Source organism: Homo sapiens, chromosome 5 (assembly GCF_000001405.40).
Source record: "Homo sapiens chromosome 5, GRCh38.p14 Primary Assembly".
In the NCBI taxonomy this organism is placed as follows: domain Eukaryota; kingdom Metazoa; phylum Chordata; class Mammalia; order Primates; family Hominidae; genus Homo; species Homo sapiens.
Window position 1 is genome coordinate 5055400 of NC_000005.10, and position 23854 is coordinate 5079253.

The following is a 23854-nucleotide window of genomic DNA, read 5'->3' on the forward strand; positions in this document are numbered from 1 at the left end:
TTTAGGATGGGTTAACGTAACACAACCTTAACCAAGTGATCCAACTTAATATCCTCAATAATAGGACAAACTGATATCATCTGCCTACAGTTATGACACCCTGAGGAGGAAACATCACTTCTTTAATATTCCTGCCAAAAGAAAAGAAAAGCATGACCTCATAACCTGAATTCAATCAGGAGGAAACATGCAACAAACCCAAATTGAGGAACATTCTACAAAGTAATTGGGCTGAATTCTTAAAGTCAAAATCATAAAAGATGAAAGCTGAGTAAATTTTCTGGATTAAAGGAGACAAACTGGACATGGCAATTAAATTTAATGTCAAATTCTGAATTGGATCCTGGCATATAAAAAAGAAATGTAGCTACAGAAAACATCATTGGGAAAATTAATAAAATTTGAATATGAAATATGGATGAAAAATAGTATTGAATCAATGTTACATTTTCAATTTTGATTACTATACTGATACGTAAAATCCCTTTGTCTAGCTGAGAGGATGTGCTGAGGTCATCAGAAAAGATTTTGCAAATATGTTGTTAATTTAGTCTCCACTCATAGCTGAGATTTTATCCTGAGGACCTTTTTAACCTAATGGAAATACTGGAGATGAGAAACAAGTTTCTCTCCCAAATTTGAAAATTCTGGCTCTTCCATATTCCCTCTAAATTCTAATTGCAAAATGCTCCATTCTTCCTCTAGCTCATCTCTTTCTTGCAATACCTTATTATACTTAGCTCTAAGAGCCAGCTGAACATTCAACATTCTGCTTCAAAATTTAATTGTTCAAATCAAAAAGTTTATTAGGTACATTTGCTATCTCCCAAGTTAGCAAGCATGAGGGCTTTACGATTTGTTCCACCACCACATGACATGGGTCACCATAACTCCAGACTCAATTTTCCTCCACTTCCTCCAACCTTGACCACAATGCAAAGACAGGAATCTTCGATTTTTGTTATAGTAGCACCAGCACCCCAATTCTGCATAGCAGTTCTGCCTTAATTACCTATTGTCATGATAATGATGTTTTAGAAACTATCCTCAGATGCCTTAAAACAATGTAAATTTGTTATTGCTCATGCATCAGTGGTCAGCTGGGCAGTTTTACTATTCTCACCTGGGCATCTGTGGTCAACTGCAGGTCTCACCTGTGGTCAGCTGCAGGTCTGGTGAGTGCCTCTGCTGATGGAGGCTGGGCTGCCTGACATGTTTGGGGTCAGTGGCTGTGACCAGTTTATGATGGTTTCAGTTGCAATGGCTGAGACAACTGGGCTCTCATCCACGGGACTCTCACATTCCTCAGTCCCTCCACACATGTCATCACGGTAAATGCAGAGAGCCAAAACCCAGCAAGCCCAATTATGCAAAAAGGCACATGGAAATTTAGTGTACGTTGATGTGATTTTCTTCGCATCCAATTGGTTAATGTAAGTCACATGGCTGAGTCCAAGGCAGAGTTGGAGAGAAGTAAAAATTATAGAACTGAAGGAGTAGATATGGGGAGACTTATTAGGATCTTTCTGCAACCAACCTACCACATGGTGACCTGGTTTGTGATGAAGAAACCACTGATAATCAGTGGGATAAGTCTTAGAATCTCCATAGGTAGCGCTAGGTGAATCTGATATCTACATTGAAAAAATGAATTTTGACCTCTAACTTATGCCAAAGACAAAAATTGATTTAATTGGACCACAGAATTCAATGTGCAAGATAAAACAATAAAGCTTCCAGACACGTCCCTGCTGATTTATTACCAGTCTCATGATGGGAGTTGCCTTTTGAAAACACAGATCAGCTCATAAAGTCCCCTTCTCAGAAATGTGACATGGCCCCACTGTCTTCAAAATAAATGTCAATCCTTTTATCGTTGCCTTTAAAATCCTTCTAAATCTTACCTCAAGCTACATCCCAAAAGGGACCTCCTCCCCTAGACATGCCAGGAGCTGCTCGCCCCGGAAAGCAGCTCTGTTTGCAGAATCGCGCACCGGCTCTGCACACTCCCACTCGCTTTTCCGGTTGCTCAGCTTTCTACTCCCTCTTTATTGGTAAAATATAAATTGCAATTTCAGGACACATTTTTTTAAGTATTAGGCTCTTGAAACTTTCCAGAGTACACAGGCAAACGTAACTCCCTCTCTTATGTGTCCTCCCAGAATTTTACTCAGTCACGTTGCTCACTGCTGCGCACTCCTGCAGACGCATCCCAGTGGACTCTGCGCTGCATCCCCAGAGTACAGCGAGTTTCCCGCCTCCCGTTAGAGATCCAACACATATTTTTTTTGAAAGAAGAAACTGATGGAAGACAGGAAGCAAAAAGGAGAGGAAGGAAAGGGATAGGAAGGAGGGGAAGGAAAGGGAAAGGAAGGAAAAGAAAGGAAAGTGAACTTGAAATCCTACAAGGTCTCAAAGTCAAAAAACATGTAAGTCAATTATCACAGAAAATAAAAGAACTGCTACAAGGGCAAGTTACTGGGCCAAATCTGTCACTATTACAACATAGTATGAGTGTGTTCATTTTTGGTCATTGTAATCATTGTTGCTTTGGTTATAGTCATCTATTTTATAATTTGTGGTGTCCATTTAGTTATCTTTTGTAAAAAAAAAATGTATTGTGCATGTGTATGTGTGAGAGACAGAGAGAGAGTTTTTCACAAATGGAAAATGAAGATACAATTTGGATATGGGAGAAATGGAAATTTATTTTAATGCCTGTTGACATTTATTTCACTTTGATAACCATATTATCTCCCACCCTTAATTTTAGAGATTGCTAGGAGGAAAGATGTTGCATTCTTAATAGATCAAGTAATTTAACTTCCAATAATAGTTTAAGCTAGATTTTCCACCCTGCTATTGTTTGAACGTTTGTGTCTCTCCAAGATTCATGTTCATACTTAATTCCCAACGCAGTAGTATTAAGTTGTAGGGTCTTTATTAGGTGATTAGGTCATGAGGGCTCTGGCCCCATGAATGGGAATACTCCCCTTATACAAGGATTTGAGGGAGTCTGTTCATCCCTTTTGCCATGTGAAGACATAGCTAGAAGGTGCCATCTTTGAAGGAGAGTACGCTTTCACCAGACAATGAATCTGCTGGTACCTTGGTCCTGGATTTCCCAGTCCCCGGAACTGTGATCAATAAATTTCTATTAGTTATAAATTTCTCAATCTAAGGCATTTTGCTATAGTAGTGTGAAAAGGCTGAGACACAATGATTCTTTTACTTTTCATTGTCATCAAGGGGAAAAATATCTTTTAAAAGTAGTGGAGAGTAACCATCCAGTGATCTTTCTAGACCTCATGGCTGATGTTGGCTCGATGACCCAGAATAAATGCTTTGAACCAACATTAGTTTTATACTTAGGGCACACCCATAGGAACCTATTATATTTGCAACTGGTTACACTTTAATCAATCCCAGGCAGCTGAAGTAAGTCACACAGTTTACATCTCTTGCTTAACATAAGCTGAGATATATTTCCTGAAATATTATTAGTCCTGGAGTGATTTTCCAGGCAGCCAATGCCAAGGTTTATTTATTTTTAAAGAAGTCTGAATGTTATCAATATTTGACTTTGCTAATAAGATATTTGAAGAATTTCCTTATTTTTTCTCTTTGTATATGATTTAAATAGAGTAAAAGCCTAATATTTTAGAATCACATGATTATTTATATGCAAATTAGATTGAGGTTACCTTACCAAATTCATTTGTTATTATTCAAGTACATACCGTTTTACTGGTCAAAGGTTTAGATTCTGTTCCTTCTAATTGATCAGTCTGATTGCTTTGCTGGTACAGAAGCTACCTCTGCGTGAGTGTCTGCATTGTAGATTTCTGCAGAGGTGCAGATGAGCTATAGATCTGCCGATTTGGCTTATAGATCTCCACCCCTCCTGCCATGCCAGCTCCTTCTTTACTTTTAAGTGCACTTCAAACACAGCATAAAGGTGGTTTGGAACTCAAATAAAACAGAACTTTGTTGAAGCTGTTAGTAGAAAAGGCAATACTTTATAATTTGGGCATAGACTCAATGTCAATTTCCCAAAAATTGTAGCAAAATTCTACTTACGAAATGTAATCAATAATTGCCTAAAAACATTCTGTTGTACTCGGAGAATGTGTCTGTCTTCTAAAATGGTGTTTTAATTTTTAGGATTGCTGTTTTAGAGAATTGAAGATCCTTCATCTTCAAGAATCTGAAATCTACCATGATCTTCACATGTAGCCAAACACAATGGGATGTAGTCATTTAAGAGTGCTGTGAAGGCAGTGTATGTGTACACAGAAGCCCAAAAGGCTAAAATTGGGTGGAGAAGGAGAGAAAGTTGGGTAAAAAATGAAGTCATCATAGTTGGGTGGACAGATACTTGATCAGTGGGCCAGACACACCACCACATGACCACGGCAAAGCGGCAGACATCACTCCATCCTTGGTCCCACATTTTAAGAGAGAAATAGCAATAACTGTTCCAATTTTATCTCCTGCATATTTGTTAAGGGATAATCTACAAAACAGGCACATCGACTTGGAGGTCGTAGATGAAAGCTAACTGACTATAGAGCACTAAATTTTTAAATTCCAACCCAAAGACAAATAGACTTCATATTTTACATTACTCTGATGTGGAATGAGAAAAGAGCTCTAGTGACATTTCAATTTATCATAGCTAATCATATGAACATTATTATATAAATGGGGATTCTAAAGCACTAGGTTTTAAAAAGCCTTAAAGGATAATTTTAAAATACCCTCAAAAATGTATAAAGCCATGCACGGAAATCCTTATGTCTCCCAATTTCTTGCTGAAGTGTCAAAACCAATGCAACATGAAAAGAAATTATCGAATTTGTAAAATATAAAGAGGGTGTAGTTATGTGCCTGAAACGTGGAGCAGCTTTGGCAGAAGACTGAGCAGTCACAACCTACTCGCTATTGGGAAGCCTCTGTAGAAAGAGGGGCAGTGCCTCTCAGCCCCCGAATTTCCAGGGCCCATGAGAAGGTCTTGGATCCAGGTGTCTGAGGACCAAAGATGAGCTGAGTGAGCAGAAATTCTTCTTGGTCATGTTCACCCAGGTTTGGGGGAGGGTACACTCAATGCATCACCAAAGGAGTGCTGTCAATTGTTAATGTCTTCATCAATGAATGTAAGCAAACTAAACTGCTAAAAATACAAAAATACTAAATACCCTACTAAAAATACAAAAATTAGCTGGTTGTGGTGGTGCACACCTGTAATCCCAGCTACTCAGGAGGCTGAGGCTGGAGGATCTCTTGAACCTGCCAGGTGGAAGCTGCAGTGAGCCTGGAACATGCCAATGCACTCCCACCTGAATTACAGGAGTGAGACCCTATAAATTTAGAGGGAAAATAGAAAAACTTAAAACATTAAAACCACTATGCTAACCCTGCCATGAGCACAAAACAATATGGAAGAAACAAAGCATTCTGGGAAATAAAAATCTGACTTCCAAAGTTTAAAATGTAATAGAAGTAAATAACATACAAGCTACCACAAAAATCTAATTAATGAATTAGAAAGTTAGTTTAAAAACCTCCTATTATTTAGAGAAGAGGTAGAAAATAGCTTTCATCTTGTGCACCAATTATTACTGATTGATAGTGGTTGCCTATGTTAAGAAAGATTCTGAGGTACTGCTTGGGTACCAATTCCATGGTTTGACTCCTGAATTTCAATTAAACATCACTGAGGGACTATTTAATATAAAGAAAATAAAACCTACATCTACTTGGAATAGACAATTTTCCTGCAAAGAAACCAGAATCAAATTGGTTTAGATGTCTGTGCAGCCATATTTACCTAATTCTAAGGGAAAATGATTATGACTCTTGAGTTCAACACTCAACTAACCCTCATACATGTGCAACAGCCAAAATTAATTAAAAATTACATAAATAAAATAGGAAATATATCATTTAATACCTCTTTTAACACATGAATTTTTTAAATTTTTTATTATTATACTTTAAGTTCTAGGGTACATGTGCACAACGTGCAGGTTTGTTACATATGTACACATGTGCCATGTTGGTTTGCTGCACCCATTAACTCGTCATTTACATTAGGTATTTCTCCCAATGCTATCCCTCCCCCATCCCCCAACCCCACAACAGGCCCCGGTGTGTGATGTTCCCCGTCCTGTAACACACGAATTTTTTAAGTGAACCAGGATAAAGAAATCAATAAAGAGGAAAGGATGGTACAGAAGAAAGATATCCGACAAATGGACAACATTAAAGCATTTATTTAAACAGAAACAATTGCCATGCATGTATTTTTGAAGCTTAATGCAAATACTTTAAAAACATTCTTGCTTTATACTTAAAATTTAAATTTGCACTGAAATGTTATATGACCTCACTCCAAACTCAGAAATGGTACCTGGATAAGGGAAGAAGAGTAATACTCATCCAGGAGGTATTATTTCACTCTTGATGTTAATTAAGAAATCGAGATTCAACTATATGTTCTTTCAAAATGTGAGTGTGAAATTGCAGAACGGAAAACCTTTTCAAAAAGTCCTCCAAGGAAGGCTGAGGCTTCCGCTGGGAACGAAGAACCAAAATGAAGGATATGGAGTGAGGCGACAAGATGGCGACCACATACGGTTTGAGTTCTAGCTGTCAACGTCCCGATGAATTCTTTCTTTTTAGAGGTGCTTTCCCCAGGCGATTCTTGGTCAGCCTCTCCGCCAAAGAAGAAAACACCCATGTCAGTGACACTTCCTGTGATTCGTTCTGCTGCCCTCCTGGAATAAAACTAAATTAATCTATCCTTTTGGGGAGACTCTTTTCATGTGTTTGCTGACTTGCATTTAAACGGTTTCCTTTAAAATTGTTTTTTTAATATGGATGTTTCAGTGACCAAAAATAGAAGAGTTCGGTTTCTTCTACTGCAAAGAACATGTTCACCTTGTGGATAGCAAAACGGTTGAGCTTTTTATAAATTCCCCAGACCACCTCCAGCCATTTGTGCAAATTAACACGGGGCTAAACTTGGAAACCTGATCTAGTAATTCAAAGTAAAATAATTAAGAAATAAGCATGGTTGTAAATTATAAGTAAAATGAAATATGTTCATTTTAATTTAATGTAGAATTTGTTCAATATTAATGACACATATTTACAGAAACTGAATTGGAAACATAGTAATTATAAATAATGGGAAGAGAGAGTTTTCCTTTTTAATCTAATATGCTTAGTCAATGTCTTAAAGGTTGGCAAAGTCAAGAGCTGCAGACCTAAGGCAGCTGGCAATCTGCCTATGGAACTTCTAGAGACAAAAGGAAATTAGTTACTATTTAAACACCAACCAATGGGGCTTTGGGAAAAGAAGATTCCAGGCTCTGATTCCCCCTGGGACCCTCCTAAGCCTTCCCAGGGTGCTCAGGCAGAAAATGCAGAGAGCACTGTGCACCAGGATGTTATTAAAATAATTTAAAAATACAAGCCCCAGGAAGCTGCGAATTGGGAGAGGAGTTACACACTGATAATAAATATTTTTGTAAAGCTTAACAGAAGAAGAAAAACTGCCCTGTGAACAAAACTGACTACAATTTCCCCTTTTAATTTTAACATTGATCAAGTAAATTTGCAAAATCTGAGATTATATGCCCAGCTAAGTGTACACTAAGTGTACATGAGCATGTGTGCACATACAGAGGCACACGGGAAACTTCCCATGCTACGGGAGGCTTGACGAGAAAAATAAGAGAACAGAAAGTGGATGAGACCATGAAACATGGCCATTGTGGGAGAAGAGGCAGTTGGACTGAACGAGACAGATACTACCTAGGCTATGGAGCTTCTGTCAGTTCTGGAGCAAGTTAGCTCTGATCTGGATTTGAACTTGCTACTCTAAGTCACATTATACATATATATATATATATATATATATATACACACACACACACACCTATATATATATATACCTATATTGCTACAATTAACTGTGCAGCCAGATGTTAAATTTTGTTTTTTCTGGTCTCACCTGAGTCATCAAAGCTGAGAAGAACATGTCTCAATCATACCACATTCTGAAAAGAGATGCAGAACTGTGCATACAGTACATGTGGTGGCCCAAACCTGGTTCTGAGACTATTCACTCACGTCCAGAGTATAATAGAGAATGTTAATGATTTACAGTGAGAAAAAGATTGAGGATTTATCAGGCAAAGTTATTGGAATGCTCTACATTCCTTTCTCACATCAAAACAAACAAGTGTCTTGGAGAGAAAAAATCAGAGAGCAAAGGTGATCTGCTGGAATGAAGACTCACATCTATCTCCCTACCCTCACCCCTGCTGGGGGCTTTCTGAGCTGCAGAAGCTCCCTGCGAAGCCCTAGGGGAGTTCTCTGGGGAGAGCATTCACTGTGCACCTCCCAGAGCGTGTAGGAGACCAACATTGACACTAGACTCTCATCTGGGCAGGTAGGAGCAGCCCCTGCTGGCCAGTTGAGGGGAGTTCTTGTGCCAGTGGTTGGGGCATGACACTGACCTGTCCCATGGCCCAAGAAGATCCTTCCAGAAATAGATAGGATTGCATAATGTGGAAGGCCCTGCCAAGAACCCTGCCTGCCAGGGGATGCAATTCTATCAGAAAGGAACTTTGGGGTATCCTGGAACAGAAGGCACAGGGTGCCACAATCAAGCGTAGGAGCAGAGCTCAGACTTTGCCAGGGAACCACAGGCTGAGTGGACAGCAGGTCTGTGAGGTTTCTACAGGTACCATGAGAGAAAGAGAGACAGAGCCAGCATGCCCCCCTCCTTGCCAGGAACATGGCACTAACCCAGATAGCTGCTGCCTCATCCAGAAAGACTTTCTAACCCTTTATGTCTCCACTTTCCAAGTCCTGACCTCCACCCAAAAGGAGGAGCGAGGAAAACCAGGCAGGCTGGCATCCTCCTGCTCCAAATTGTCAAGCTGGTGATGGTCTCTCCATAGGGAAGGATGTATGCCTTGGGTGTTATGAGAAATTGAAACAGGAAACAGTCTCAACTTTCTAAATTGCTAAAAAATGAGCATGTCCTACTGAAACTAATGGAAAAGATGGGAAACCTGTTTGACAAAGTGTTCAAGGGTGAGACGGGAGATTTGAGAAGCTAAGAATGTGTCCAGAGGTGAGGCAAAAGACAGTGAAGTTAATTTCTTGTTTATGAACGGAAGTAAAATGTGCACCATGCTCATTCCCTAATGTGGGGTAATCATTCATAAGCATATCTTCATTTGTCTTCCTTAGGTTCTTAACAGTTGTCCCTTCTGTACAGTGCTATAGTTGTCATGGGTCCTGCCTATGGCATTAGGTTTTAGCACTCACAGTGGAGAACACAGGAGAAGGTCATCCTTGCCCAAAGACTTGCTCCAGCCTGTTTGCTCCACATTTAGCAGGCATAAATGTATAAGAGATCAACTAGGTTGTTGACTAAGGAGGAAAATTCCTATCATAAAGAATAAAACAAGCCGGGCATGCTGGCTCATGCCTGTAATCTCAGCACTATGGGAGGCCAAGGCAGGTGGATCAATTGAGGTAAGGAGTTTGAGACCAGCCTGGCCAACATGGTCAAACCCCGTCTCTACTAAAAATACAAAAATTAGCTGGATGTGGTGGCAGGCGCCTATAATTCCATCTACTCAGGAGGCTGAGGCACGAGAACGCTCGAACCTGGGAGGCGGAGGTTGCAGTGAGATGAGATGGCACCACTGCACTTCAGCCTGGGTGATAGAACAAGACTCAGTCTCAAAAAATAAAAAAATAAATGAAAGAATCAACACTTCGGAGCAAATTATAGATATGGGAGTGGAAGGGGTGTATGTCAGAAATACCTTCAAGGATTCACGTTGAATCATTGACAGTGGTAATACCATTAAGAAAATTGGAAAAAAATCTATAGGGAATCTGTTTGGAGAGGCCCCTGACAAAGCTTTGCTTATGTGTGTTTACTGATGCCACGGACATCCAAGCAGATGATAGGAGCAGAAGGCTAAAGAAGTTAAAGGTCAAGGAGTAATCCAAGGAGAGAAAGAAATGAGCCAACACTTAACCCATGTTTGAAGCTTGGGTGGTGAGAGAGAGAATGCGCTTCTAAGTTTAGGTCCTGTTTGTCATTAAAAAAGCTAGACTCATATTAATGTGTCAAGTGTTATAAATGTTATGAAGAAAATCCTACAGGAACACAAATGAGGAAGTGATTCCTGCTGGGTGGGAGGCAGTCAAAATTTAGCCGACTCTTGAAGGATAGATGACAGATATGAGGATAGACCTCAGGAGGGAGCTTCCAGCAGAAGCTGTGATGTGATGCCAGCTGTAGAGGCAGGAAGCCCAGGGCGGCTCACGCTGCCAGCCTCTGGGGTCTGAGGAGGGCATACAGCAAAGCAACTTGGTGGGGATAGGTGTCACCAGATCAGATGAGAGACAAGGACTTGTATCTGGTACTAATTTTTGTGAAGTAATGGGTCTATCTATGGTGCTAAGACAGGCAGAGGGCTTTGATGAGAACTGAAGGTTTTTTGGAACAAAGCAACAAAGATGATAAGGATGATAGCTGGAGAGATGAAGAAAGAGTCCTCCTCCTCTCCAGAAGGGTTTCTGTGGGAGCTCATGGCAGTGGGAGCTCATGGCAGAGTGATAATAAGAGCACAGCCAGCACCGTGGCAAAGGGGAGGGCAAGGGAGAGGCACACAGGCTCAGGGACAGATCAATTGCCAGGCGAAGGAAACCAGGTGAAACTGAAGACAGCTGTCAGTTGTTGAGCCTAAACCTCAGAATCATGGTGAGGAGCATGTTAAGTAACAACAAGCAAAGACTCGGTCTTGTATTGGACATGAATACAAGGCATTGCTGGGACACCTAGATGCACACCTGGAGCCAGCTGAACGAAGGTAGAGAGAGAAAGTTGAGACTGCACTTGAGACGGGAGAGTTGAAGCCATAGACCTTAGATGGGTGGTTCTCGGACTTCAGCCCACTGCAGCAGCACCTGGAGGACTCCTTACAGCACAGACTGCTGGACCCACACCCAGAGCTTCTCAGCCAGCAGGGCTGGGAGGAAATTGGCACTTCCTGGGCAGGAGATACTGGTGCTGCTAGTTGTCTGGGGACCACACTTTAGAACTACTGCCTTAAAAGTCACTGAGGAGGCAGTGGCTCAAAGTGTGGTCTCTGGACAACTAGCAGCACAAGTTCTTTCTATGGGGAAAGAACTGAAAAGAACTGAAACAAAAACAGGCCCCCGCCCTCAAGAGGGGGGAAAAAAAGTCAGCCCTGTTCCCCTGAGAGTCTGATTTAGTTGGCCTGGGCCCAGATGATGTCATTGGTATTTTTATTGCTCTCCAGGTGGTTCTGACATGCTTCCAGGGTTGAGAAACACTGATTAAGGAGGAGAAAAGAAAGCAATTTATTTAAAAATTTTTAAAAGAAACAGACAAAAAGCCCACTTTTTTTGGCACTGATCTAATTCTCTTTTCTTTCCTCAGGAAAAGCAGTTGAAATACCATTAGTTAACAGATTGCCCAATGAAGTCGATGACAACTGTGATAACAAGTTACTCACTATCACAGCGTCTCCAAGAGATGAACAGTGGATGATGCTTCCAAAGCACAGATGTCCCTCTCCTCCTCAACCTTCTCTCCCCAGAAAGATGTCAACACTGTGGAGATTGTGCTATGAAGATACCTGGTGTGGCATTGCAATAGATGAAATATTAAGGGCAATTCAACAATTTTCTGAACAAATACATGGATTTAACTTGAAGTTGAATTTAATTTGACTTCAAGAAAAATTATATTTCTGGTCCTCCTATGATCATGCACTAAGAATTATTTAACTGCAGATACAATTGTTACCTTTAGAGCTAGAAGGCCTCATTTTAGAATTAAAATGAATGGCAACCCAGACAGATAAAGTCGAGTCGTGATCATCCCACTGCGGAGGCAGAGCCAGTGCTGGCCATCCCCCGACCACCCCAACACACTCCAGGTCTCACACATTTAATCTCTCTCTCTGCCAAGGGAATTTTTTCTTTCCATTTATTCTTAGAAACAACTAAGGGAGTTTTAAGTTAAATACATGCTGCCAAATTGAATCCAAGGAAACTAAAGTCAAATATATTAGCAAACACTTAATGTCCTCTCCATTTTGACATTTCTCCCTCAATTCCTATTTCTGAGTAAAGGCTGTTCAGATGAATAAAAACATATTTTCAGAAATCTGAGCTCATAAGACCTATAGGTCTGTGAAGTCACAGACCGTGCACTGTCAGCAGTCAGCAATTCTGCTGGGTTGAATTGGCATGTTTCAAACTATGTATTTTTGTTAAAAAAAAAAAAAAAGGTGTGTAAATGCATTTACAAAATAGTTTGTACTCTTTCCCAGTAATTCATAGTTGCCTTCACAGCACCCAGTTCCGGATTTCACACCAAGCCTTTGCTGAGGATATGAGAGTAATAAAAAGGGGAGCCCTGGTTCTTCCTCTCCTTTAGTGTCTTTCCTGGAAGTGGACTGCGAGAAGAGCTTCTTCAGCCACCTTCTGCCTGCAGACAACCTCCATGAGTTTGCTTTAGAAGAAGGCTTCAATTTGAAGAAAGTCAAATAAAACAAGGTAGACTATCATTCCCATAGATGCAAAAGAAGGTGAACCCAGATTCAGATCCTAAGTCAGCCATTCTGCAGGGAACTCTTAGGTGTCCAGGTCAGAGGCTCTACTCAAACTGCCTCATCAATATTGATTCCTCAGTTGTTGCAAATATACCACACTCATGCACGTTGTTAATAATAAAAGGGGAACTGTAGAGGACGGGGTGGTGTATATGAGAACTCTGTACTTTCTGTGTAATTTTTCTATAAACCTAAAATAGCTCTAAAAATAAAGTTTATTCAGAAACAAAAAAATTAATCATCTATCCTGAGTAAATATTATATAAGATTTATCTAAGTTTTTACCTACTTCTTCAAATGTGCTGACCTTTACTGAAAATCTTTTATACATTTTGAATATTCTTTTCACTCTATTGAAATGCAGTCCTCCTGGTAATTTTGTTTTGTACTGTATACCCAGTGTATTCTACATCACCAAAAGCTTTAGAGTAAGTTTCCCAGCCTACCAACCCCACTAAATGCCCACATGCTGAAAGCATAGTACAATAGTCTCTTTAATATCACAGGTTTCAACTGCACAGGTTCTTATATGTGGATTTCTTTTTTCAATCAATACATTGGAACAATTTTGGAGGTTTGCAACAATTTTTAAAAACTCACAGATGAATTGTGTAGCCTAGAAATATTTTTACAATTACAAAATGTTAGATATGTTATGAATGCATAAAATATGCACATTAATCTATTGTTTATATTATCAGTAAGGCTTCCAGTCAGCAGTAGGATATTAGTGATTCAGGTTTTGAGGAGTAAAAATTTATGCATGGATTTTTTTTTCTATGCAGAGTTTGGCTCCTTTAATACCCCGCTGTTCCAGGGTGACTTGTACACACTTATTTCTCTCTCTCACACACTCACATACACACACATCCACACACAGGCACATCCACATTACCAGAGGCCACATCAAAGAAACTTAAATGGAAAATCTCAGCAAATGGTATGAGGTGGGATTCTAGGATTTATTTTAAAAATAGTATTGAATGTTGTGTATGTGATAATTCAAAGAATAAAATGGCTAACATAGAATGTGGAAAGGCATATTAAACGAATTCATTTCAGCCTATTTAACTGGAGTCACGAGAAGGAATTTTTAAAGACTACTCATATATGCCCTTTTTTTTTATTAACCCTAACATAATGTAGATAGAATTTAAATTTCTATTATATTCCACATTTCACAATTGATTATGAAGTCAGACTCCTAAGTAGCGGCTCTGTAGACTCAGCTCTCTCTTTTTTTCTAAGATGGGATTTCTCTGCTCATCAGGTCATTGTGTTTGCAATTGATCCTTGGAGACAGCGACATCTGCGAAGCTTCCAAGCCACGGTGGTTCCACCTTCACAAGTATCCTTCAAAGGCATCCTGCAACCACCCCATCCATCCAAGTACTCCGTTGTAGGATTCAAAAGCAAATTGCAGGGTTTGCTGCCTGGCAGAGAAGCATAGACACAAAGCATGAGAGAGCAAAACCTATGAGTTGACCATATCATAAACACAAATAGATATATGCAGAATACCAGCTAAAAAATAGGCAATAAACTTAAACAATAGGACTATGAGTAGACATAGCAAGTGCTGGGTAGAGATGACAGTTTTGTGTCCTGTTAGAGCTAAGTCAGAAATCTGGGTCGAAGTGAATGTGAGGGAGGAAAAGGCCATTACAATATTTAAGAAGCAGCTCCAATATTTTTAAAACGTGAAGGAAAACTTGCAAGCAATCTCTAGGGCTGGAGGGAGAGAAATGCAAAGCCCTCTCAGCCTGCTCCACCATTATCTTTTGCATTCCAATAACTGACATGCTGCTGAATGTTATGACTATTTGTTTATTGTTGACTGTTCTTGGCACTGCTCAGTGTAGCCAAAGATTCCTTGCCTACAAGAAAGTCTTGCTCAGACAATAAACCACGGAGAAAGAAAATTGTCCTTGAGAATAAGGGCATTTCAGAGGGAAAGGAATTCCACCAGAGGCAAAGAAACCCCCGTCCACCGCAGAATTCGAGCTCAATATCTCCTATGTCTATCTGTGAAAGCCATCATGGAACTCAAGGGCAGGAGGGGGTGGTACACAATGGTTTGTATTGTAATCCCCTGTTTTCAGACACATTTTTCTGAAAGCATAAACTTTGCTGGCTAGGACTGTATAAACCTAGCGGGATTTTTTACTTTTTCTTGGAAGGCATTTGTCTCCCAGCATCATAAAACTTAACAGTCTGCTTTCATAGTAACAGTGTGACCTTGTAGTCCCCGATCCTAAGTGTGTATGTGTACAATGTATAATTTCCCTTTGTTTCCTCTGAATTCTCCCTCTCCATCCTTTGTCAGTCTAAACGGGCTTTCGTTTCTAATTTCTCTCTTTATTTTCTCCAGCAATGTACTAACTTTGCTTCTAGATTACCACTGTGCCTGATTTTGAGGTTGCCATTTTAATTTTAGCAAAATGCTTGGATTTATGGGAATCATCAAAAAGGCAAGATCGTTGGGCTCGTTGCCCTTCCTGGGACTCTCTTTTCACTTTGGTGTCTGCTGTGTTAGTGATTTGATATCAGACCAATCCATGAACCCTTCATTTTAAACCAGGAGCCCAAGGGAAATAAATAATGCCACCAGAGAGAAATGAGAACCCAAAAGCTATTACTAAAATGAAAACGTACTCTCTCTTAGACCTGGCAAATTGTACTAAGACATTCAGATAGTGTATCCAAATGTTATTCAACCCACTCATAGCCATATTCCTTTGATGGCACTAAGGTGGTACTTAAAAAGGAGCAGGTTCCATCTCAGAATCCCCAGCATCATCCCAGATAATCAAGACCATGCATCCTCTTCAGGGATCCTGTTTCCCTGGCGGCTTCTCACCCCTGAGCCTCACTGCCCTGCTGTGCTCTTCATTACTCTTTCACTAACATGCAGAAACAATGCTTTTCTTTCCAGTGCCTTCAAAATTTGGCCAAATTCTCCACCAAACTTCACGAATTATTCATTACCTCACATCCTTTATCCAGAACAACAAACGAACATGTGTTTCAGTGAGCTGAATATTCTGGCCCAGCCCTGCTCTGTCATGCCTGAATGACCATTTTTTAAAATGCCAAAGACGAGGAAAGATAAAACACTTCTAGGGCCATTTTGAGAGCTTGGTCTTGCAACCCTTCTCAGCCTCCTCCGACCCTTCTTTCTCTCTCCCTCATGCTCTGTGCTCTGCCTGTGTCTCGGCAGCCTCCTTTTTGACACTGACACAATCCCATGATCCAGGACATTGGCCTGGCTCCCCGCTGCCCAGGAAAGGAGGGGACACCTGGAAGTGCCTATAAGGCAGCTCTTCTAAGGTGGAGGGAGGTGGGAGGAAGCAAGGTAGATCAAAGATCCCCTCCCTCCCTCTCCAGAATTTTCTGAGGTGTGATCCCTCCCTTCAGCTCTCCTGGAGAAGTCCTATGGACCATAGGGCCACCTGCTGAGAGGCTGGTGGGCCTCCTGGGGGCTCCTGGAGCAGGGGCAATGCTGGACATCACACCACTTCTGCTTCACAGTGTTCTTGTCTCACCACCCTCACCACCTCATGAAGGACTGGCACCTACTTCTCACCCCAGGCTCTGCTCTATGGGGGACGAAGGCTGGCTGAAATGTCCTTCCTGCGAGACATGAAGGTCAACCTTGGAGAGCTCCAGGGACATGAGCATTGAGCTGTCCAGCAGTGTAGAAACGTGCACACTTCTCTGAGCTTCTGTGTGTCCCGACCTGTTGTTGAGTTTGGGGTGGAAAAATGGTGACCGACAATGAAACAGGAACCTCACAGCCTGTCAGTCACCAGGAAGGCAAGTGGACTTCTCCTCTGAGGAGCAGAGAGGAGAACCAACTGTGTGGCCTCTTTCTCAGGTTTAACTTCGTTGGAATAAAAGCTGCATATGGCACTGTGTATTGATCAGGATTCTCTAGAGGAACAGAACTGATAGGATAGATGTATTTATAAAGGGGAATTTATTAAGGAGTATTGATTCACACAATCACAAGGTGAGGTCCCACAATAGGCTGTCTGCAGCTGAAGGGCAAGGAAGTCAATCCAAGTCCCAGAACCTCAAAAGTAGGGAAGCCGACAGTGCAGCCTTCAGTCTGTGGTTGAAGTCCCAAGAGCCCCAAAGCTGAAGAAATTGGAGTCCCATGTTCATAGGCAGGAATCATCCAGCACAGGAGAAAGATACAGGCTGGGAGACTAAACCAGTCTAGTCTTTCCATATTCTTCTGCCTACTTTTATTCTGGCCATACTGGCAGCTGATTAGATTGTGCCCACACAGATTGAAGGTGGGTCTGCCTCTCCCAGGCCACTTACTCAAATGTTAATCTCCTTTGGCAACACCTTCACAGACACACCCAAGAACAATACTTTACATCTTTCAATCCAATCAAGTTGATACTAAATATTAACCATCACACACTATGACATCCAAGTCTTGACCCATTGAAATTCAACCCTTTTGGACAAAAACTCACTTCCTGGTTACAGCCCTTTCTTCATGCACAGCTCAGGGAACAGAGGAGGCCAGTGAGAGGGTGTCTCCAGGAGGAAGATGCCCTGGCTCTAAGCTTCTTCTCTGGAGCTGGGGCTCAGTCAAAATAAAGTGGTGGTGATGGTCCTGCTGGATGGCTTTGTGTTCCCAAGTGTTTTACCATGTACAAAGAAATACAGAGGGTGTACCTATAGAACAACCCAGTCAGATTTGTTTCCAGCCTGAAATCTCTGGGGACAGGCCTCCAGACCGTTTTGTATTCATTGTGTTTTCTTTGTCCCCTTTATATTCCGGTGAGTCCCTCAGATCCAGATCTTTCAGGATTCAGTTCTAATGCCCTTCCACGGAGAGGGTTCCCCAACACCTTCCTGTTCTATTCTGGTGGCATTGCTGCCATCACTGTTGTGAGGATGGAGGTCCTGCCTTCTGCCTTCCTTGCTGTGTCATCCTTCTTTCTAACGTGGCATTATTTTCCCCTATCCTGCACTGCCTGAGCTTATCACTCTGGCATGGATGGATTTTTGATCCCCCTTTCCTCCTGGTGGATGCAAAGTTACTTATGTCAAGTAAATGGTCTGGATTAAATTAAGAGTCAAAGAGTTTTTATCTATTCCTGACAGTGATGTCATCTGTCACTTTTTAATGTAGTTAAGTATCTTACCCTTTTGTTGTTAGGGAGATGCTGAACTAAATCTATGATCACTGTTCATATCGACAGAGGTTCTGGGGAATCACACTGATAGCCACACAACAGTACTGGTGCTCAGTAAAGGGCAGCCACGTGGCAGCAACTTCACAGACCATTGTAAACATAATGTCACTCAGCAGAAACAAGTTGCCTTATTGGTATGCACATTCCCATGCAATGGACTTAATTATGTCTCCCTGATATTCATAAATTAAACCCCCAATCTCCAATGTGATGGTATTGGGAGGTGGGACCCTGGGAGATAATCATGTTTACATGGGGTCCCGAGAGTGGGATTCTGATATGTTTGGATTTGTGTCCCTGCCCAAATCTCATGTCCAATTGGAGGATGGACCTGGTGGGAGGTGATTGGATAATGGGGGCGAATTTCCCCCTTGCTATTCTCATGATAGTGAGTGAGTTCTCATGAGATCTGATGGTTTAAAAATGTGTGGCACTTCCCACTCTTTCTCTCCTGCTGCCATGTGAAGAAGGTGCTTGCTTCCCCTTCACATTCCACCGTGATTGTAAGTTTCCTGAGGCCTCCCAGTCATGCTTCCTGTTAAGCCCGCAGAACTATGAGTCCATTAAACCTTTTTTCTTCATAAATTACCCAGTGGTTCTTTATAGCAGTGTGAAAATGGATTAAATATAGGTGCCCATGACAGAATTAGTGCCCTTATAAGATGAGACTTTGGAGAGCTCACCCTGTCCCTTCCCATAAGCCAGAAAGACCCTTAAGCAAGAAGGTGGCTGTTAGCAAGCCAGGAAGAGTCCTCATCAGAAACCAACCAAGCTGGCACCCTGATCTCAGACTTCCAGCCTCCAGAACTCTGAGAAAACGCATTTCAGTTGTTTAAGTCCAACAGCCTATGGGGTTTTGTTATGACAGCCAGAACTCACTAAAATACCTTGTTTCTCAGATGAGGAACTGAAGCACCAAGAGGTTAATGAACCTCCCCTAGACATACAACCAAAGATGCAAGGGGCTGAAACTTTCATCTATTTCAGTTGACATACAACCAACCAATTAAGTTGAAGTTGATAGAAGCATTCAATTTCTAGATAACCTAAATAAAATTACCTGAATTTCTAGATGATTGAGTCCCATTTATTTATAAACTTTTGAAAGAGACTTTTAAAAATTCTCTATCTCATTATTTTCTTACTTTAAAATTTTTCACATTGAAATAATGTTAAATTTATGGAAGAGTTGCAAAGATACTACAGAGAGTTTCCAGGTATCTTCCACCCAGCTATCTCTAATGTTATCAGTTTACACATGTTGGGGTTCAGAAAACAATGCCTCAAAGTATGGTGCTTTGACCTGCTGGCCTCTTTGAACCAAAGGAGCAGCCCCAGAACCAAAGTCTCTATGACGCCCCCATGCAAGATTCTTGTCCTTCTGCCACTTCAGAAGTACAGGCAAGGGACCTTATCTGAGGTTCACTTCCCGAACTAAGGGAAGTTCCTCTGGAAGGAATGCAGTTGTGCAGAGCCTGCTTCTTATAATTTCATAAAACAATGAAGATTAACTCATGGGAGAAGAGACTAGAGTGGACACCACACCCAGAGCCCAGATAGACTCTGTCCCAGGCATTTGTTGGTTCTTCAAGCCCATTCATCTCCCCCAAAAATCATTTACTTTTCTTCTAACAGTGCCTACAGCCCCTACTTCCCTTTCCCCTGTGAAAAAGGTTATATAAGTCTCATTGGATTGTTAGGTATTGTGATATTTCCATGCACCTAATAAATTTATGTCTTATCTCCTATTAATCAGTCTATTTCAGTTCATTTCTCAGATTCAAATATCAAACCTCAACAGGGGAGAGAAAGGGTTCTCTTACCCCAATATGTAATTTATTGTTATATATTTATTAAAAGTAAAAAAATAATATGAGTGCAGTACCAGTAACTAAATTCCAGGCTTCATTCAGACTTCAGCAGTCTTTCCACAGAACGGCACCCTTCTTTTTTTTTTTTTTTTTTTGAGACGGGGTCTCACTCTGTCACCCAGGCTGGAGTGCAGTGGTGCAATCTTGGCTCACTGCAAGCTCTGCCTCCCGGGTTCACACCATTCTCCTGCCTTAGCCTTCCGAGTAGCTGTGACTACAGGCGTCCGGCACCACTCCCAGCTACTTTTTTGTATTTTTAGTAGAGACCGGGTTTCACCGTGTTAGCCAGGATGGTCTCGATCTCCTGAACTCGTGATCCACCCTCCTCGGCCTCCCAAAGTGCTGGGATTAGCACCCTTCTGTCCAATGCAGGACTCCACATCACCAGGGTGGTTTCCTGGGCACGAAGCCCAAGGAGTGCCAGGGCCTGGCCAATTCTTCAAGTTGCATTTATTCATGTTACCTTCATCTCTTCTGATTGTGGCAGCTTCTCAGTCTTTCCTTGTATTTGACAGTTTTGAAGATTGCTTGTCAGGTGTTTTGTTGAATATTCCTCAATTTGGATTTATTTAATGTCTTCTCATGATTAGCCTGGAGTTATGGATTTTTGGTAAGATGCCATAATTTTTTTTTACATTGACTTCATAAGTGAAAACAAATTACTTAAAATTATTTTAACAAATAGAGAACTCTGGCAAAACTATCGTATGTCAAATAAATCCTATTATTTGCAAAGTATACCATTTCCGTTTTGATTGGTGAGACAATAAATATTTATGGATACATCCAGCCTCTGCTGATTTGTTTTTGTTGAAGTAAATTACACATAGTATAGAATTAAACAGTTTAAAGTGTAACCATTTTAAGTGTACAGTTCAGAGGCAGTTAGTACATTTATTTATGAAGTAAATAGGCAGATAATATAGGAGAAGAATTACATCATGATTCAAAATTAACTTTAAAGCACAATATTTAGTTGTTCATTCTTTTCTTTCCACAATGTACAAATTATGTCTCATTATCCTCAGAAAAAAATGGGCATCCATTTGCCAGTTATGTATATGTGTGTGTTTGTGTACATATGCATATATGTATATTTCACACACGTCTGTGTGAAGAGACCACCAAACAGGCTTTGTGTGAGCAATAAAGCTGTTTATTTCACCTGGATGCAGGCGGGCTGAGTCTGAAAAGAGTCAACGAAGGGAGATATGGGTGGGGCCGTTTTATAAGATTTGGGTAGGTAAAGGAAAATTACAGTCAAAGGGGAGTTGTTCTCTGGCAGGCAGGAGTGGGGGTCACAAGGTGCTCAGTAGGGGCTTTTGAGCCAGCATGAGCCAGGAGAAGGAATTTCACAAGATAATGTCATCAGTTAAGGCAGGAACAGGCCATTTTCATTTCTTTTGTGGTGGAATGTCATCAGTTAAGGCAGGAACCGGCCATCTGGGTGTGTACGTGCAGGTCACAGGGGATATGATGGCTTAGCTTGGGCTCAGAGGCCTGACAGTATATATGTATATACATGTATATATATGTGTGTGTACATATATGTGTACATATATATATATATATATATATATATATATATATATATATATATATATATGATGGTCATATACACCATCAAATGAGTTGCAAGCCTGCTTGTAGAAAATGTTTTCCAGTATCCATGTGAGCAGAACTTTAGTTTATAAACTTTAGTTTGTAAAGAGAAAGAGTAGTACTTATCCAAGGGGAGCAACATGAAAGCATTTGTTAAATGGCATGCTGCTCGTCCTACGCACTTCTCTCATGAATCCTTCCACCACCCACCACACCGTTGGAACTTTCCAGATGTAAATGCATAATGTTGTAGTTAATTTACTCAATTTTTCACTTTGTCTTACATGTATTAATGGAAAAAAAAAGCTAAACTCTGTAAAATACTTGAAGAGGTTTATTCTGAGCCAAATATGAGTGACCGTGGCCCAGGACACAGCCTTAAGAGGTCCTGAGAACACTCCAAGGTGGTCAAGTTACAGCTTGATTCTACACATTTTTAGGGAGGCAGAAGTTACAGGCAAAGACATACATTGATACCTGTAAGTTATACATTTAGTTAGCCTGGAAAGGCAGAACATCTAGAAGCAAGGGGGCTCATAGGTCAGAGGCTGGATTTAAAGATTTTCTGATTGGCAATTGGTTGAAAGAGTTAAGCTTTGCTGAAACCTTTGTAGTCTGCAGAAAGACATACTTGTGTTAAAATAAGGGAAGTTGTAGAAGCTGATGTTCTTGTCATGTAGATGAAGACTCCAGGTAGCCGACTTCAGAGAGAATATATGGTAAATGTCTCTTTTCCAACCTTAAAAGGTGTCAAACTCTGTGGAAAAGATCTAGTAAAGGAAGGACATTCTCTACAAAATGCAAATTTCCCTCACAAGAGAAGGCTGTGCAGAGCCCCTCCAAAATATGTCAAAGAAATATTAATATATAGTGGGGTAAAATACTTTGATTTCCTTCAGGATCTGTTTTCTGCCATGTGATGCTATACCAGAGTCAGGTTGGAATTCGAATTCAGTATCTTATTGCTACAAAGAGTCCATTTTATCAGTCTTAAGATCTCCATTTTAGCATTAATGCTGGTCTGTTATGCCAGCTTCCTAAAGGGAGGAGGGCATAATGCATGTCTGGCCACCTTTTCCATCATGACCTGAAGTGGTTTTTAAAGTTTCTTTGGGATTTCCTTTGCCAAAAGGGAGGTCCGTTCGGTTGGCTGGGTGGCTTAGAATTTCATTTTTGGTTTATGTATGCCTAGCTAGAATACATGAAAGTTTGCAAGCAGAAGCCACAGCAATTCACCTTTAGAATCCTAAATTGAGTATATCATTTCCTAAATAATATCTTAACAGATACTGATCCCTTGCAATGACCCTCAGGAAAGCTCTCCTCTGTCTGTTAAGCCTGTGCTGCCCAATGCTGGACTTCCCTTACAATGAGCCACAGATTCCCCAGCAGAATAAAGGCTAGGACTGTTCTGCTCCAAGAAACCCACCTTGCTCGGTCCAATCCTGCATTTCTGGAACTTGTTTGATCACAGATATCTTCGATCAAGAAACAACTGTTAGCATGCCGTTTGGGAGGGTGCGATCCTAGAAAGTTTTCTTGTGTAGAGTAGAACCTGGTTACCGATCATGATGTTTTAAAGCACCAAAATAGTTTTGTTTTTGTCTTTGTTCTTTTTCATCTGTGATAAACAAACCCCAAAAGGCATGTGAAACACAATGAAAAGGCACGCAGCACAGCTTGGTCACATGGAGAGCACTCAAAAGCTAACTGCAAGGGCATCACAGGGGCAAAATCAGCATTTATATCATGCGCCTGTGACTTTGGTTATGTTAACTAAAATCCTGGTTACTCACTTTTCAAGTTACCCCCAAGACAAGAGTGAGCCTTGATCAGAAATGTTAGAGAGGAAATTGGGTGTTTGCCAAAAGAAATGTGCAAACATGAAACAAACATTTGCTGACTGTTAATGCTTTGTCAGCCTAAGGGCATTCTTTAATGCACTGAAAGGAAACCAGAGCATAAACGAGGTGATTCCCTTGCATTTCCTCACTCCCCAGTTGGGGGCGGAGTGGGGGGAAGCAAGCATAAGCCATGTGCTTAGCATAAGGATTCATTGTTAAGGACCTTCTTAACCTCAAAAGGCAGCCTGTGCCAGTGATGGCTTCCCCCCAGCAGGTTAGGATATTCATACACAGAAAGCTGGTGTTACAGGGGCACAGAGCGGGTGGCGAATCATCGTGAAAGCGGTAAATTTTTAAGTCCTGGCCAAAACAGTGTGATGAAGATAGTCCTCTCTTGAGCATGATGACCCTAGCTGTCAATAGCCAGCGTGTCCTCCACAGCCATGGCCAAGAAAAACCCTTGAGTAAAATAGGACACAAAACTCTGAGAACCTGAGCAGGGTCCCTGGGGAAGACAGGAGCATCCATCAGGGGATGCTTGATGACAGCACAGACTCTGAAGCCAGGAGAACCATCCAACCCCAGCCTGTCCTGGTGCTCTCCAGCTGTAGCCACCACTTAACACCTCTGTGTCA

The 23854-nt window shown here is 41.1% G+C and overlaps 2 long non-coding RNA genes across 2 annotated transcripts in view; one reads left to right on the top strand and one right to left on the bottom strand.

Moving 5' to 3' along the window:
- Positions 1 to 14605, top strand: part of LINC01020 (long intergenic non-protein coding RNA 1020) — a 35646-nt gene extending 21041 nt beyond the window's left edge. Inside the window, exons 3-7 of the long non-coding RNA NR_026994.1 lie at positions 2163 to 2429; positions 4165 to 4282; positions 11504 to 11705; positions 12424 to 12627; positions 13954 to 14605. This is a non-coding gene — a long non-coding RNA (long intergenic non-protein coding RNA 1020). The remainder of the gene's footprint in view (positions 1 to 2162; positions 2430 to 4164; positions 4283 to 11503; positions 11706 to 12423; positions 12628 to 13953) is intronic.
- On the bottom strand, positions 13793 to 22912 carry LINC02121 (long intergenic non-protein coding RNA 2121). Its single transcript, NR_134266.1, has 2 exons — positions 22805 to 22912; positions 13793 to 14116 (listed from the first exon to the last, which is right to left on the bottom strand). It is a non-coding gene; the product is annotated as a long intergenic non-protein coding RNA 2121 (long non-coding RNA).
- Positions 22913 to 23854: the final 942 nt, after the last annotated feature.